At 41.2% G+C, this 17,485-nt stretch overlaps 1 protein-coding gene across 1 annotated transcript in view; it reads left to right on the forward strand.

Annotated features, from left to right (window-relative positions):
• FOXP2 (forkhead box P2) overlaps nt 8,198–17,485 on the forward strand; it is a 607,439-nt gene continuing 598,151 nt past the window's right edge. Inside the window, exon 1 of the transcript NR_033766.2 lies at nt 8,198–8,482. The gene's annotated coding sequence lies outside the window, so the exon portion shown is untranslated. The remainder of the gene's footprint in view (nt 8,483–17,485) is intronic.

Here is a 17,485-nt window from a genome sequence, read left to right on the forward strand (position 1 = left end):
TATACTGAGGTGGGAGTGATGAAAAAGAAGAGGCGTAGAAGGAAACTGGTATGCACCTTGATGAAACAGAAAAAGGTGGTTAGGGCCAGGCGCGGTGGCTCATGCCTGTAATCCCAGCACTTTGGGAGGCTGAGGCAGGCTGATCACCTTAGGTCAGGAGTTTGAGACCAGCCTGGCCAACATGGTGAAACTCCATCTCTTCCAAAAATACAAAATTAGCTGGGCGTGGTGGTACGCCTGTAATCCCAGCTACTCAGGAGGCTGAGGCAGGAGAATCGCTTGAACCCGGGAGGCAGAGGTTACAGTGAGCAGAGGTCACACCATTGCACTCCAGCCTGGACTAGAGTGAGCCCCTATCTTGAAAAAAAAAAAAAAAGAAAGAAAAGAAAGAAAAAGGTGGTTGGAGGAAGAAAGAGACTGGGGAGTCCAATTTCCTGTGATTGTCTCCCGGGAATATGATGGCCCAGGATAACTTGCTTACTTTACTTGAGAGTTAGAGAAATACTGAGAGGAAAACGTGTGAATTAACTGAGAACATTTATGTTCTTTTACTTTCATTCAGTTTTTAAATTTTCTTTCACTTTCTTTCAGTTCCTATTATAAAACTATTTTCCTGTGGTAAAATAATGACAAATTAAAAATAATCTTTTTATAAAAGTGCATCTGTGTAAGAGTAACATAAATTAAGGGATTAACGGAGTCCCTCTTCATAGTTGTTAAACCCACCATTGTATTTGATATTATCATATTTTTACCCCAACTTCATGCTTTTGTCAAAAGAGTATAAATTTTCTGAGGCAAGTATTTGGCGAAGTGTATATTTTTAGTCAAAAGATACATTGTTAGATTTAATTTTTTAAGTGATTATCAGAAACAAAAAAATAGGACTGTGTTATTTTCTTACTGTAGCCTTAAGAAATGTTTTCTCTGGTCTTACAGTGTCCTGCGTAAACCTCTATGTTATAGTTTATTGAATTAATCTACTTATAATATCTTATTTCCTTCATTAGAATGTGAGGTTTGGGTATGGACCTAATCCTACATATCTTTAATTCCCTGAATACCTACCACAGTGCTTAATATATAAATATTTGTTGAGCCATTAAGTAATGCAGTTGGGAATTTGAATGCCAGATTTAATATACCTTTATAGCTATCTGCTAAGTTATTTAATATGAAAATCATCAGTTATAACTATTTTAGCCAGATGTTTGGATAGCAAAGCAGATATATGGATTTGCTAAAAATGATACACAGTAAAAAAATATATCTGACAATGTTTACAGTATTTTACATATAAAATATATTTGTCTGGGGCATGATTTTCATTCATTCATTCATTCATGCCAAAAAAGACTATTAAATATCTCATATTTGCTAGACATCTTTGTTGCACCAGACTGAAAATTTAAGATTTGACTCCATTGACCGTAGGGAACCTTTGCCTGATTCTAAGGGACATGTGTTTTAGATGCGTCTTAGAAAGCAATGAGGAGGATGAACTGGAACAAAGAGAGACTGGAAGTAGGAAAGGTGATTAGACAGCAATCAAGAGTGACCACATAAAAAATTATAAAGACTTGAGGTAAGGTAATAACCATAAGGACAGATGGAAGAGGACGATGGAAAAAATAATAGGTAACAATGAACAAGGACTAATGCTGCTTGGATTTGAGAAGATGGAGGAGTTGGCACATATGACTTGCATTGCTTCAGCTTTAGGGACTGGGTGAATTAAGGTACCATTAACTATTAACCAGGTGGCATAAAAAGCAGCTGGCCAAGGAGAAAAGAGAGCAAATTGGTACCATTGCACAATCCAGATGGAACTATCAATAAGCAATTGAATACATTGATCTGGAGCGCATGAGAGAAATATCTGTGGAAAAATTTGAGTTGTTATTGTGAGGGTGGTGACAAAGATCATGGCAGAGAGAAGAAAAAGGAGGAGGAGGAAAATAGAGGGAAATACAGAAGGAGAATGAGAAGGAGAAGAAGGGGAAGGAAAACAGGATAAATGACTGAATCTTTTTATGATTTGTTACAATTATAACTTCTGTGTGTTCTATGGGTAAACTACTATGATTATAGGAGCCATATGGTTATTAAAACAAAATAAAAATCTGCACTGATGCAAATCTTGATATAGTCCTTTTTTTGCTCATAGCTTTTAAAAAATCAAAGTTATATTTTGCCTCATAGCCTCATGTTAGCCTTTATTTCTTAAAACTGTAGTGAAGGTAAGCTGCTGATGAGATTATGGGTTTCTCCTATGAGTCCCTGAAGAAAATTAACCCTGAAAAACATCATAAACTGTGGTTTGTTTTAACACCTCTTGCCATCAGCTTTTCTATGATGAACACTTGCAATGAACCTCTTTACACTATCGAAGAAACCTTGTAAAGTCTAATTGACTTTCAAGAGAAACGAGTCATCAGAATTTTTTTCTCCTGTGTATTACAGTGGACATGACATGACAGTTAACATCTTCAATACTGTAATAAAATCCAAGGCTATTGCCATCACTGAGCCACATCAGTTTTGATGGATGTGAAGAAACTGTAAAGACATAGAGATGTATGGCAAAAAAAAAAAAAAAGAAAGAAAGAAAAAAAAAACATTTTCTGGAGTAACAGGAACCTGATTATATGTTTAGAAACACAAAATAGTTCAAAAGCTAGTGGAGTTTTACCAACTAACTAGCTGTGTGGGCTTCCTCCATGCCTGGGCTTTGCTTAATGATATTTAAAATGAGGAGATTGGACTAGAATATCTTGACGTTTCCTTCAGTTATAAAATTTCATAGTAATTCAGAAACATACCATGTCTAAGATTAATTTCATGTTAGAAACATTAACAGACAAAGAGCTCTTGCATCAGGAAATTCCACATATTTGAATCAATGTGTAAGAAGAAATTTAACTTTGCTTTCTCTTATATAGACTATGTCTCAGAAAAATGTAAGATCTATTAAATTGAACCATATTAAATTGTCATTTGTGTTGTTCAAAGTTGGTCAAATAGAGACAAATTTATATGATTCAAGTTAACATCATTATTTTTAGTTGATGTGTTACTAACATACACAAGCGATTAGACTTTATTTTCATTGATTTTTATTTTCTGGAAAATAGAAATTTGGTAATCAAGTCCTTAACACAGAAAGGGGTACAACATTCTAGTGAAATATTTTAAGATCCTTAGAAATATAATATCAATACTATGCCATTGGAGGATTGGAGGGTTGTGAAAAACAAACAAGCAAACAAAAAACGGAGTCTTCACTGCTTGATGGAGGCTTTTGATTCAGTATTGGAATTCTTTATCCAGTAGTTATCCCCTTTCTATATTCATTTGGATAAAGCTTTCCTGGGTATAGAACCCACTTAGCCTGCAAGATTCCATCCCAGAGCAATTGATCTTTGTCTCTCCACCAAGATCAACTAAAACTGGAACCTAGTATTAACTGCCTTTCAATCAAAGTTTTAGGACACTCAGAGCCAACCTCTTAGCAGTGATATGCTGTGGTTACGTTTTTTCAAGATTAGATATATACCTACTAACAATGAACTAGGCTACATTAGAGAGAGAATTAAGTGTATTGTTCACTGGAGGATATGGGTAGCCCCTGTTGTTGAGTCTCCATGGTTCCTGCCAGCAGCCTAGGAGAAGCTAGGGGCAGGGCAGCGGAAATCTGCAGGCCCATAGCTGATTCCAAAGGGCTTTATGTGAAGGCTGGCAGATGTGGAGAATTTTTTTAATCTTCTGAAGATGAGAGAACCCGGGTAGAAGTGTGGGTTTATGAACAAATATTTATTGCTTCAGGGTCCAGGTAAATTCAGGGTATATGCTATAAAAACACAAATGAAAAATATAGTCTGTGACTTTTTTAAAAAAAGTTGGGAGAGCTCATTAGGATTTATTATAGGTCCCAAATTTTGTAGTCCCTAAGCTTAACGACAGATGGTGGTGTAACTCCACCAATTTCACAATATCTCCATTCAGTCTGATGTAACATAGATTACCCTTGATTTGACTTCGGTGAAATTAGAATTTTCTCTTTTCCCTAAATGTGTCAGGGAGGAGAATGGGGAAAAGTCGTCTAAAAGGAGTCTGCTTATTTGCTCATCTTCAGAAAACTGTAGTGGATGTGAAAACACAGGAAACTGATATGTGACTGTTTTTTCTGTGTGAAAGGAAAAATACCTTGCATTTAAGACTTTAGTTACAGGCTATTTGAAGTGAGTAGCACAATTTTGAAGATGTTATTTATAACAGGAAAAAATAGTAATTTAAAAACACCCCCTTTCCTTTCTCCCAGCGATTTCTCCAAGTCAGTTGAAATTTAAGTACAAGTCACAATTACAGAGATAAAACGGCTCTGAAAGAGAAAAATGTAGTTGTTGTTTGAAAGTGTTGGAAAAAACAGACTTAAGTGTGTGAAAAATTATATTTTTATAAAAAATAACTGAAAATCAAAGAGGTTCACTGGGAGAAGCAGTAAACTAACATTTCTAATTTGTCATTCGCGTGCGTCGCTTTCCTTCATCTTGGCTATACTTCCTCTCATCTGCGGTGTTTTATTTCGCGCAAGATGCGCTGACAGAGGCCATTTCAAACGAATTTATCTTTCACTAGGACCGTACTAGAGCAGTGTCTCGAATTTTGTTGATTTGTGGTTTCGTCGTAAAATAAACTTGAAATCAAATAAACTTTCGTGAGGAAGCTTTGATGTCCACTTGGTGAAACTCCTCATTCACCCAGTTGAGCCGTTGAACTTTCTTCTGGAACCTCTTTAAATGACTTTTGCCGATCCACGTGCTGCAAAGAAGACCTGAACCGTGCCTATGACCCTGCGCGGCGACTACAGGGACAGAATTTGGCTTTCCTTCTCTTTCCAATATGCAGCGTTTCGTTTAAAGGCTGCCTCGATCCAGTGGGCTGACCAGTGACTTGTGCAAAAGAAAACTATTCGATCGCTGTTTGCCCTTTCAGCGTTTTCCTCGGCTGCGGAAACCCGGTTTTCCTATTATTATACTTCAACTTTTTTTGGAGTCAGCTAGCACAGAGCGCTAAACCCCGGCCAGTTCCAGCAGCAGCCGAGGCGAACAAAGCCTGCAGTGTTCGGGGCCATGCTGGGGCGGGAGTGGTGGACGAGTTCAAGGAATTGCAAATAAATATATTTTATGACCACCCATCAACAAACTACGTGCCACCGTGGCGGCCCCTGGTAGCCGGGCCGTGTCTGCAGTGTGGCCAGGGGCGGGGGCTGAAAAGGAGGCGGCCGGAGAGGCGAAGCGAGCTGCGAGCCCCGGGCCTGAACTTTCACCTCTCGAACCCGGGCCCAGCCCATTGGCTGCAGCCGAGGGGTCCACCGAGGGCAGCGGCTCCTGACAGGACCTGTTTTCCCAACTCCCTGGACAGCTTCCCTGCGGGATGGGTTGGTGGCCCGGGGCATGGCAGCAGGCGAGGAGGAGATAATGGGGGCGAAGTTGAGCGGGGGCACTTGGGAGCTGCGGGCTCAGTTTCACTGAGAAAAAGGCCCCGGAAGGGTACGCGTCCACTCTATAAATATATACTCCTCCGACTGAGATGTCCTTTCGCACCTCTTGGCTATCTGTACTCTCCAGAAAGGAACGTTAGAGGCTGCGAATTTCACCAAAACGTTTCTTTGTGTACAGAAAAGTGAAAGGCTAACTAAACTCGTTCCTCTCCAAGTCTTGAGACCCTAACCCTCCTTCTCCTCGTTGGGAACTTGATCTTCCAAGTGGCCCTAGCTCTTTTACAATAAACCTTTCCCGCTCACTTACTCGGTACACCTGGAGAGAAAAGGGAAGTCAGTGGGGTCGATGTACGCGGGGGAAGAAGAAGAAAAAGAAGTGAGAAGCTGTCCACCTTTTGATTGTTCTATTCCCTTCATTTATAACCCCCCTGGAAAGGTACATCCCCAGTTTTCCAAGGATTTCCACGTCGTTTACTCTTCTTTTTTCCAAAATAGTTTCAAGTTTATTCAGAATCCGTTTTTATTGAGGTTTCCTAGTGAAGCATAAACGCAGATTACTTAACATAAAATTATCCCCACCTTTCAAAAGGGCGAGGTAGGGCCATTTGGGGCTGGCGTTTTCTAATGATAATGACTGTTCCTCCTTCTGTCTCTGCTCCCACTTTTAAAAGATTCGGATTATTTGTCCACTGTTCAGCCTGCATTTCAAAATAGACGATTTAAAAAAGAGTGAGAACACAGTCTGTAGGCACAGCACTTGAGGACTGCCGGAGTTGAAAAGCTCAGGGAAAGAACCGCAATTCAAAGTCCAACTCTACCTCGTTCCTCTTCCTCCTGGCAGGGGCCATCTTCCCAGGGCCAGCCCCATGGCTTTTTGACTTAATTGGTTTCACTAAAAAAACCCTGACGGTGTGTTTACCGACGTGGGTGCCAGGGCTGCTTCCTCCCTGGGAGAGCCGCGGGTTCTGAAGGAAAGGGTTGGTGCCAAGTGTGTGTGTGAGCTCGCGACTGCCCTTTAGAGAAAGGGCGCGCTGCTCTTTCAGGAAAGGAAAGATTCAAAGGCACAAGTTAGTGCGGTTCGCCCGTCTCCCCAACCACCACCACCCCTCCCTCTTCTGCCACCGGAGGGGTTCAAGTTGGCCGTTCTTTCCCCAGGGAGGAGGGCCGGGAAGCAGCCGGGGGCCAGGCTCTGTTCACCACGGCCTATTGGCCGCAGCTATTTGGAGGAAAGTTTCAGCGCCTCTCGGAACGCCACGCTTTGCGACTGACTTGCGAGCAAAGCAGCGGGCTCAGTCTGCGGCGCGCGGAAAAGGCGGCCGGCGAAGAGTCGCCCGGCCCGCGGGCAGGGGAGGGACCGGAGGGAGACGGCGGGGAGGGAGCGCTGGCCCCCCTCTGGGCTGGGGCTCCGGAGGAAGCCCCTCGCCAAGATTCCGGTCGTGCGTCCCCTCCGGGGCCCGCTCTCTCCTCCCTCGGCCTTTCCCCTGTCACCGCCCTGGGTCCCAAGCAGGCCGCCCAGCCGGGTCACACCCGGTGGATAGAAGCCGGGACCCAGGGCTGGCGGCTGGGCCCGTGCATCCCCCACGCGGGCGCCTCGGCTTTGAAGTGCGCGCGGAGCAGGCTCTGACCGTTTCTTCTTTCCTTTCTTTCCGGTTACTTTTGCTCCCCTCAGTCACTGATAGGACCCTTCCCGAAAACCTCAGACTCTCTAAGTCCCAGCTTGGCGGCCCCTTCCTTCCAAGCCGCGCCCCGGTGACCTGGGCTGCGCGACCACGAGGAAGCCCGAGAACTCCTTGGCCCAAGTGAGACAGGAACCAGGGCAACAATGAAGAGAAAGACACTCGGCCTCTCTCCACCCCAGGCCGCAGAGGCGCACACCGTGAAAAGAAAGGCCAATCAGCGCTTTAACGCACGCTCGGGTCTCCCTTTCCGACTACCATGTACTTTTAACTCCCTGCCACCGAGGGCTTTGGATCCCTTCGAGGCTTTCTGCACTTCAAGTGGAATCCCCTGTTTCATTTGCCAGCAGCTCCGTCTGCTGAGAGGACGTACTTTGGGGACTGCCAAGAAGCAGCAGACACAACTCGGCTTTGCCAATACAGCATACGGTTTTGTTCTCGCCTCCCTCCCCACCCCCTTCCCTGACTCGCCGTCTGGGGCGAGCTGGAGAAGGCGGAGCAGGAGGTGGGGAGAAGGGTGGGGGTGGGGGAAGGTCTGGCGTAGCACAAACAAGTTCTCCAGCGGGTTGTTTACATAGCAGGTGGACCTGACGTCAGCCAGGAGGCTCCGCTGCAAATCCGAACAATATTCTTCCCCGCGTTTCCCCCTCCTTAAAGAAGTTAGGGAACGGGGGGAGATAGGTGGACGGGGGAGAAAGGCATCCTAACCAGCTGGTTCCAAACCTATCAACAACAACAACGACAATAACAACGCAAAGTAAAACAAAACAAACAAGTGGTCCGGCGGTACTTCAGAATCCTCTGCGGCGTCCTGTCCCCCACCCCGCCCCTCCGAGGAGAGGCAGCCCCGCGAGCAGTGTGTGTACAGTTCGCATTGCCAACAACACGCGCGCGCGGCCGGGTGCGCGCGCCTGCCAGCGCACATTCACACACACAGACACACAGACACACACACACACACACACACACACACAGATCCGGGTGGGGGGAGCGGCTGCGCGAGACAGCGCGAGCCTCCGAGAAAGCGCGAGACACGCCGGCGCGTGCAGCTCCGCGGCCGCCGCTTCGCCCTAGCTCTAGCCCCGCGCCACCCGCAGCCCGCCCGCGAACGCCCGCCCCGGTTATTTATGCGGCGGCCGCGTCCGCTGGCTGCGGCTTCCTCGGCCCCCCCCCTCCCCGGGCGCGCCCCCCACTCGCGGCAGCAGCTGCCCGGACTCGCGCGTGGGTGTGTTGTTTGGGGGCTTCTGCCTCGCCGCCGCGGGTGCCACCTCCCGGGACGCTGCCCACGGCGTCCCCGGTCGCGGTAAGTTTCTTGGCCCTCACTCTGGCGCGCTACACCTCCGCACCCCACCCTGTCCCAGCCACCTCCACGCTGGGCCGAGCTGCGACTTTACTCTGCTCCGCGCTCCTCCCGCGGTGGCGACAAAGTTTCGCCCCAAAGGCAGCGCCCTGCTTGCCGGGGCGAGTGTGACATGTGTCAAATTTGGGCTCGGCGTTGGGGTCGCATTCCGGACCCAGCATCACCACTTGTTGTTCTCTTTCATTTTGCTTTGTGATGGGGGAAAAAGGGGTGGAGAGGGGAGATTTGCTGTTGGCTCACGGATGATTTTTAGTTTGGATAATGCAAAATGTTGCTTCGTCCGGAGAGACCTCGGCTGGAGGAGAATGTGTGTCGAAACACCAGATGTGTGTTTGTTTACTCTCTTCTTTTTAATTGTTTGTTGTCTTTTCCCCTTCCTCCCCGCACCCCCACCCCCAACCTCGGGAGGAGAAACAACAGTAAAAACATCTGGCGGTTAGAAGCACACACTTTATTGATCCAACTGCTGACCTTTATTTACTCAGTTGGGCAAGTGCACGCTTCTCGCGTCTAAGTTGGGCACTTCAGCGTTCATCTCAGAAGTACTTCTCCAGGAAGGAGAGAGATGGAAAGGGGACACTCCTGTTTCTGGAGTCAAGAAACTCCTGGGCCCTACTGACGCTTCGGGATAACCGTGCACAGGGATGACTGCTGCCTTGATCGCGTTCCTTTCCCTGTCCACGCGTTAGCACGACCGGCTTCCCCCGGTGTCTGGCCTGGTTTTACTTTTATTCCGCTTTAGAGAGGTCGCCTGGCTGTTTGTGGGTGGGTTTGGGGTGAAATCGCACCTCGCGGCACTTGGTGAGGGGACGTGGGAGGAGCGCAGACACCTTTCGGTGATAGGGAGGGCTTCTCACTTGGCTGTTACCTGGAAGTCCACAGTGGCCCCGGCGGGCAGGCGGGCGGGCAGAGCGCGGGTCCGAACGCCCTTCGCGCTCGCGGCGGCGCACGTGCGGCGGCGGCGGCGGCGCCGGCGGCGCGGGCGGGACCCACTGGGTGGCCGCGCGCGCCACCCGCGCGTTTTCTGCGCGCCTCTGCCCACCCGCGAGGCCGCAACGCGCCCTGACACCCGACCTCAGTGTGGACCCTCACTTGCTGTGGGTGTTGGGGCCTCTCTAGAGCAGGGAGGAAAAGTTACCCTCACTATTCTCAGACTCTGGAATCTCTTAGGTAAGTCTCTTAGGGCACCTGGCGCATGGGGTGACGCTTTGATTAGAAGGAACGTGAGGGGAAGAACGGGTGCAAGTCTGGGGATTGGAAAGCGGAGCCAGTGCGCGTTTTGCACAGGGATGAGTCAAGAGAGGTCGACCTGGCCACCGCTTGGGACGCTCCGCAGAATCCGGAATCCCCAAAGACCTAGACCCATGTGTGTATTTGTTTATTCAGCTTTTTAACCAACAGATTTAAACCACTTAATAGCTGCTATCTGTAAGGCTCCTGTTCCCCCCATCTAACCCCCCCTCCACACACATACACACTTTTTTTTTTCCCCACCACATATTAAAATCCAGTAAGTTTCTTGATCTTGAGGATTATTCCTGGAGTACTCTTCGCTCCCTGGTGGGCAGGCTTTGGCCATGCAAGGTGCGCTAGGTGGCCTGGGTGAGTTCTCAGAGGAGGATGGAGGGGGAAAGGGTACGAAGGACCTGTGGGAGTGTGTAAGGTGTGTGCATATGTAGTCATCGTGGATCAGGAGTGCTTAAAGAGCTACCTCCCAACATGTCCAGAGTCTACTTGGAAGAATACTTAAGTAGTAGCAGGTAAGCCCAAGGGAGAAAGTGACGCCCTGTTGTCAAGCAGCTGAAGTGGACGTTTTCCAACTGGAAGTACTGGGAGAGATTTACTTTTAGAAAACAAAAGTTTGCCTGTAAGGCATATCTTTGCAGGCTCTCCTAACTCAAATAGTTTGTTTAGTCAGCAGCAGAGGCAAGAGAGATGTGTTTAATAGCAAGTCTGTGTTAGAGGTCAAAACTGAAGTAAAGATGAGCTTTCAGTTATTTTCATCTTCAAGTTTGCATTGTGGCATACCTTGGGAAATGTTTTATGTTGTCAAGGGGACTGTTTATCTTTTCTGTCACTATGAGTTATGGATCAGTATATTCCCAGTGTACTGGAATTTTTAAATGTAGTGTTTGTTTAATGTTGTTAAACACAATTAATTTACAATTTTGATTTATTTGTATCTATATTAAAAGAGTGGGTATAAAATTATATAAACTGTGATCGTTAGGGTCATACAATTTCATATCAGTTTTAGAGCTTTTTTAACTTACAATTTTGATTTATTTGTATCTATATTAAAAGAGTGGGTATAAAATTCTGTACACTGTGATCATTAGGGCCAAACAATTTCATATCAGCTTTAGAGCTTTTTAAAGGCCCCTTTTCTCTTGCCTGCTTAACTTCTTTCCTTTTATTTTTATTGCCTAACTAGACTCATATTCAGTCGTCAGTCTAGTTAAATGCTTCCTTACGACACACACTATTTCATTGTTATCTAAAATTAAGTGAAATAAATGTTTAATTATGATTAAATATACTAACTTTGAAAGAGGAGACTAGAAACCTGATGAAACATCCCTGTAGGTGAGAAATGACACTCAATTTAAAAAGATCATCTAAAAGTTCACTTTTAAGTACAAAAAAGAATGTTAGGATTTTTAAGGGAATAATTTTTAATTCAACTTAAATATAAGTACAATGAATACTTTATAGTTAGGTTGTTAAAATGTTACCACTACCGTGTATATTAGAATAAATACAGCAATAAAAGGAAACATAGACATATATTAATTATGAACTATTTATAATGTTAGGAATTGCCTGACTCATATTTTGGGATATTGTTTTTATATAATTTATACTCGGGTGGAAATAGGCCCTTAATTACATTATGATATGAAGAGATTTATGAAATGGTTGTACCTGAATAAGCTGTACTTGGAGTTTCATTTCTTTGCACTTCTTATATTGCAGTGGCTTTGCTTAAAAAAAAAATAAGATAAACCTTTGTAATTTTCTAGAAACCTAAAATAGGGAGGAAATAGTTGTATGTGGCACACCATAAAAGTAGAAAAAGGTGAACATTATATGTACAGGTAATCTGTAATGAGAAGTTATATTTCCTTTGTACAAACAAAATTTCAAACACACAAAACAAGTCTCTTTGCATAGATATTAGAATTATACTTCATGAAAAGTATATTGAAGTATGTGAAAATAACTGCATGGTTTGATTAAGATTCATAGAGCATGTAACAGTATAGTGAATGTAGCCAGAGAAATTATTTACCATTTTTATTTCAACAGAAGATGTGAAGGATATAAAACTTATTTACATAAAAGGGATTTTATTTGTGACGTTTTTGGATTTCTATCTGGGTCAGCCTCATCACCCTTGTTTGTTTTTGTGTCATGTTAAATCAGCTATTAGTTATAATACTGATAGAAAACAAAATGATGAACGTCATGTATTTTCTGCCTCTCTGAATTAAATTGGAAAGAGGCCATTAACTTGTAAGAAGAGAATGAGATTGAGCACACAGGTCTCTAAGAAGTTTTCTCAACATGATTGTTAATAGACAAAATTGTAAGTCAGTTGAATTCAGAAATAGTGTCAATTTTATTACAATTGCTGAATATTAATTTTTGGCACATTCAAGCTATTTTTTTCTTGAATTTTGTGATAAATAGTAGTTGTCTTATTCATAAATGAATGGACCCAAAATGTTCTAACCAGTGCCCAAATTCATACTACTCTTTGATAAAAGAAAGCCTGTATCTTAAAATTGGCCTAATGAGAGTTTAATATTAGCACTGATTTCAAAAACAACTTTATTTATGTAGCCCTTAATTCATAGAGTTCAAATAAATCCAACCCAGAAAGATTCCTCTTTATATTCTTAAAGCTTCTGTAAAGGTAATCCCTGTGCTTGAAACTTTAAAAAAAACATATTCCAGTGCTCATGGTCTGCAAATATTCTAATGCCTAATTCAAATTTTAAATGTTGTAGTTTAGTTTTATTCCTTCCTTAGGTGAAATAAACATTTTCTTAGGTTCAACTATGTATCTCTTAGTGTACTTGGACTAAAGTCCTATCAATTCTATAGTCTTTATTAAGTACAATTATTTACATTCTTGGAACTTTTTTTTTTTCATGAGGCTTAGGTCATTTTCATTGCTTTCTTATGGAGGTATTCTAGACTTTTAGCTTCCTCATTTGATTTTCAGAACTTCAAAGTGGGCCCTGTAACATATTTAACAGCTAAGCATAGTTAGAAGGGTTGTCTAAAAATGCCATCACTTTTTTTTAGCCCAGCTTTGGTTATGTGAAAATTTATTATTATTGAATAACAGAAATACTAATATTGTAGGATACTCTTCCCTATAGAATATTGTTTTCTTGCAGATATTCTTTCCTGTAAAATAAATGGGTACTTCCACTTGCTTACTTCCCTCTAAGTATTTTTTATATACTATTTTGCTCTGCTCTGTGTATTTATCCATTCCTGCCCTAAATTTCCCAGACAAAACAAACAAACAAAAAAGTGCCTAGCTGTGGTGAAGCATAAAGAAATAGTATGACCTAATGAAGAGGTTAGTGGTAGAATATTGAGAAGCTGGAGAGAGTTTTTAGAGAAGATTTAGATTTCTTACGTTGCAACACTTTTAGTATTAAAATTATAAAGTAAATTTAAGGGTATACAGTGATATATTTTCAGTAGTAATATTCATGAAAGCTAGTTTTTCTTTAAATAGTTGCCTTGGCGATTTGCTGTTTCCTCAAATGTGATATTAAGTATTGGCCTAATTATTTTTAGGAGTATAATCTCAATTTTATAATTGGAGTGATTAGGAATTTGTATTTATCTATACAGATATTTGCCTACCAGCCAACTTAACAGAGTATATCTGTGCTCTAAAAGTACACTGACATCACCTCAATTTCATCTTTAATACATTATATTTTAATGATTTACAGCTGGATTCACTTTTACTGTTTCATGTTGTAATTGTGAACTTTGTTTACTCTCTCTAAATTGACTTGTATTTTTGTTCATTCTTCCAGTTTGCCAAGTACAATTTGAATGGTTAAATTTACTCAATTTAACTAAATCTATCTAAACTTTTTTAAAAAATACATTTTCTCCGTAAATCATCTATGGGGTTTAGGTTCAACCTTTTGCATTTTTTGATTATTGAAATACACATTCTTGGACCTGTACTCAACTACTGCTTGAATTCAGCTTTGAGGTTGGTTGTACCCTTCTCTCTTCCTACTATCTGCCAAGTATATCTAGAACATACCTTCCCATTATATTGATAAGTATAATATGTTATACAGAACTGATTCTTCATTTTTTTTCTGCTGTGGCAAATTATTTTCGTTAACAAGAGTGAATACAGTTTAAATGTTGAAAAGCACATTGCTGTGAAGAAAATGAATTCCCAGTGGTTTAAGAGATCTCAGCATTTTTTTAGTTTATTAATGTTCTTCAATTTGCTTTAATTTCTGTCATGAAAGACTTAAAATGTACGTTGTGTTGTTAATGTTGATTTAAAATTTATTTAAGTTTTTAGTGTTTCCTCTTGAAGATTTTTCTAATGGAAGTCTATAAGATTATACCATTAGAATGTCTTAAAGATTTTTTTTTCTTTTTTAGCAGATTAAGGAAATTAACTTTGAATTCCCCAAAGAAAGAATGCTACTAGAAATATCTTAAAGATTTTCTGGTATTTAATTTTATGTTTATTTGATGGCATTCTCTGTGAAAGTTTTCTTTATTATTTTAGCTTTGTATCATTTTAGTATACACACCCAACGATAGCCATCATTTTGCAACTTTTTCTCAACCTTAAAAAAAAAAACTTTCTTAAAATGTATTTTAGGGGTAGGAAAAAATCAGTGGTAGACATATTTTGGAGAAAGCACTTATAAAATTTCTCACTGGCAGATAGTGAGGAAAAACTTACAGTACACTAATCCAAATATCTTACCATCTTAACATATGTAGACTGTCATAAAATCATCTCATTTTTTTTTAAAAAAAGATCCCCAACATCTTTAAGAACCATTCCTCACTATTACCTCACCCAAATTTATGTTCCAGGATTTGGTTGATCTATGTCTGTATGCCTGTAGCTAACTCTTCACTTCCTTTTTGTTTTCAATTTTTTTCCTTATGGAGTCTACCTTTAGTTTAGCTAAATGGCAACAAAAAATGATCTTGTTCTATACATATAGTTTGTACAGCCACTGCTACCAATCTGGCCAGATACACCATCATCTCCTACTTGAACTGTGGCAATAACTACTTAGTTGATCCTGCTTCTTCTCCCTCCAGGCACCGCAGTTTATTCTCCACACAGCAGAGTGATCTTTTGAAAATATGTCTGTGTTCCTCTTGTATAAGCCTTCCAAAAGCTTCTTATGTCTCTCAGAATAAAATAGATGTTACATAAGGTCTTGTTGTTTTTTCTCTCATTTGGCCTACTGTGGACATATAAACCTCCTTGATATTCCTAAAAGCAAGATAAGCTGACTCCTACTCCAGAGCTTTTCTCTGGAATGATCTATCCTCCTGTATCTTCACTAACTTCAGGAGGTCTCTGCTCAAACATATCCTTGTTAGAGAAGCCTTCTCTAACTGTCCAATATAAAGTAACAAATCCTCATGGATCACTCTACCTTTACCATATTTTATTTTTCTTTATGGTACTATCATTAACTGACATTTAGAAAACATGTTTATTTAACATCTTTTCCCCCAGTGGCATGTAGGTTCCATGGAGCCAGGGATTTTGTTTTGCTTTGGTTTAACTCAATACTTAGAACAGTGCCTGGCACTTGGGAAGAGCCCCATAAGTAAATGTCGAATGAAGGAATGAATGTTTCATAGGAGGCCAAAGAAGTTACTTCCATCTATATCATTGCATAACTTGCTTTGAAATTACTTTTTACTTTTTTTTTTTTATCCTACACCCATTTTATATCATATCACATTGGGAAACACTGTTCGTTACTGGCAAAGTCATGGCCCTCGTCTCAGGTGAGTATACTTCAAGTTCCATTTTCTATATCCCATTTAAATATAGATTTTAAAATCTATATTTTAAATTATTGATCTGAGAAACAACATAACACTTAAATTTTGAAAGTTGTGAGTGAATATTTGTGGTTTTGGACAACAAACTTTTAGTAGTTCAGTGCTCTAATATAATAATATTTACCGAAAGTTAAACTGATGGATTTGATCATAACATTCATCATTATACCTTAACATGAATAGAATTAAGTGTATGTAAATATTTCTAATGGGTAAACTATGAATACAGCAAGGACAAGCCAAGTATTTCTGTTATTTTTTATGGGGAAAGATGGAGGGAAATGGGTCAAATCAGGATCTCTTCTGGGATTTATAACCACATTTAGATGACTTTACTTCTTTGCATTGGAAAACATACTGTAAGTTTACAAATTCTGTTTTCTTTCCTTTTTTCAGTATATATACTTAAACAGACCAGATTAAAGATTTGTGATTTGATGAAAACTCCAAGTCTTTAAAGTTAAAATCCCACTGTTTAGCTTGCTCAAATTGCTTTTGAATACGAAGTCATGAATAAGTGATACAGCCCTCCATATAACACCACACTAATACACAAATATTTTCATATAAGCATAATGCCCTACAGATCTCCCTCTCACATACTTTGTTCATATTTAAAATTGCACTAACTTGCTCAGAAATTTTATTCTAAACGTCTTGAGAATATGAAAAGGAGGCTATAATATTTTCTGTTGATAATGAAGGAGAATGTCTCCCTTCTTAGCCTACTTCCTTTCTTCCTTTCATTTTTCTCTTTCCTTTTTCCCCTCCACAGACTGAAAATAATTCTGACATACCATTAGTGATATGTGGCCCTTGGGAAACTGAAGCCAGGCAAAGTGGGTTTTATACATAATTACCCCTCTTTTCCTCTTTTAAAAAATTATTTTTACTTTTTTCTTTTGAGACAGAGTCTCGCTCTATTGACCAGGCTGGAGTGCAGTGCTGTGATCACAGCTCATGGTAACCTCGCCCTCCTGGGCTCAAGTGATCCTCTCCCCTCAGCCTCTGCAGTAGCTGGGACCACAGGCACACCATCAAGCCTCACTAAATTTTTAAAATTTTATAAAGATGAGGTCTCGCTATGTTGTCCAGGTTGGGAAAAAAAACCCACAAAACTATTAACTCACACCTACTCCCATTCCCTTGCCCCTTAAATGCCCAGTGTCCTCCATGTTGTGACCTGGCTATTCCAAATCTCAGTGAACTCTCCTTTCCTTGTTGCGAGTAGGAAATTTTACATTAAAGGACATGTATGATGATAATAATGCATATAAGACTGAGAATGAAGATGAATAGTTGTGAAAAGTATCTAGTTATTATCCCACATCGTTAAATAGCCAGCATGGTTTACTATAAAGAGTAATCCATGTTGAGTGCTGGGAGACTTGCATTCTGGTACTATACCTGTCTATAACTATTGCATGATATTGGGTGAGTCATTTCCTCCAAAAGATACTACAGTAGCTTTTAAATTACTTCCAATTAAAACATTTTAAGAAATGCATGGAATCAAATCTAAAGCTATTTGTATAACATGTTTTCTTCCTGATACCCCATGAACATACACTGAAGAATGAGAGAAGATATTTCCTAAAATAAAAACTATTTAAACAAAGAAAAATGACCACAGTCACTTTGCTAGTGAAGCTCAAAGGGCTGAGTTAAATTTTTAAAGGGTTTTTTTTTTTCAGCTGTCTTATCCTAATAGGTATCTTAAGATCATTCCCCTCCTTCCCAGTCAGAAATGGACCCTCCCCTTATTTAGACATAATGGTAAGACAATGAGAGAAGGTAGAGTGCATGTGGAGTTGATCACATTAGGATTAAGAAACATAA

Source organism: Homo sapiens, chromosome 7, assembly GCF_000001405.40.
Source record: "Homo sapiens chromosome 7, GRCh38.p14 Primary Assembly".
In the NCBI taxonomy this organism is placed as follows: Eukaryota; Metazoa; Chordata; class Mammalia; order Primates; family Hominidae; genus Homo; species Homo sapiens.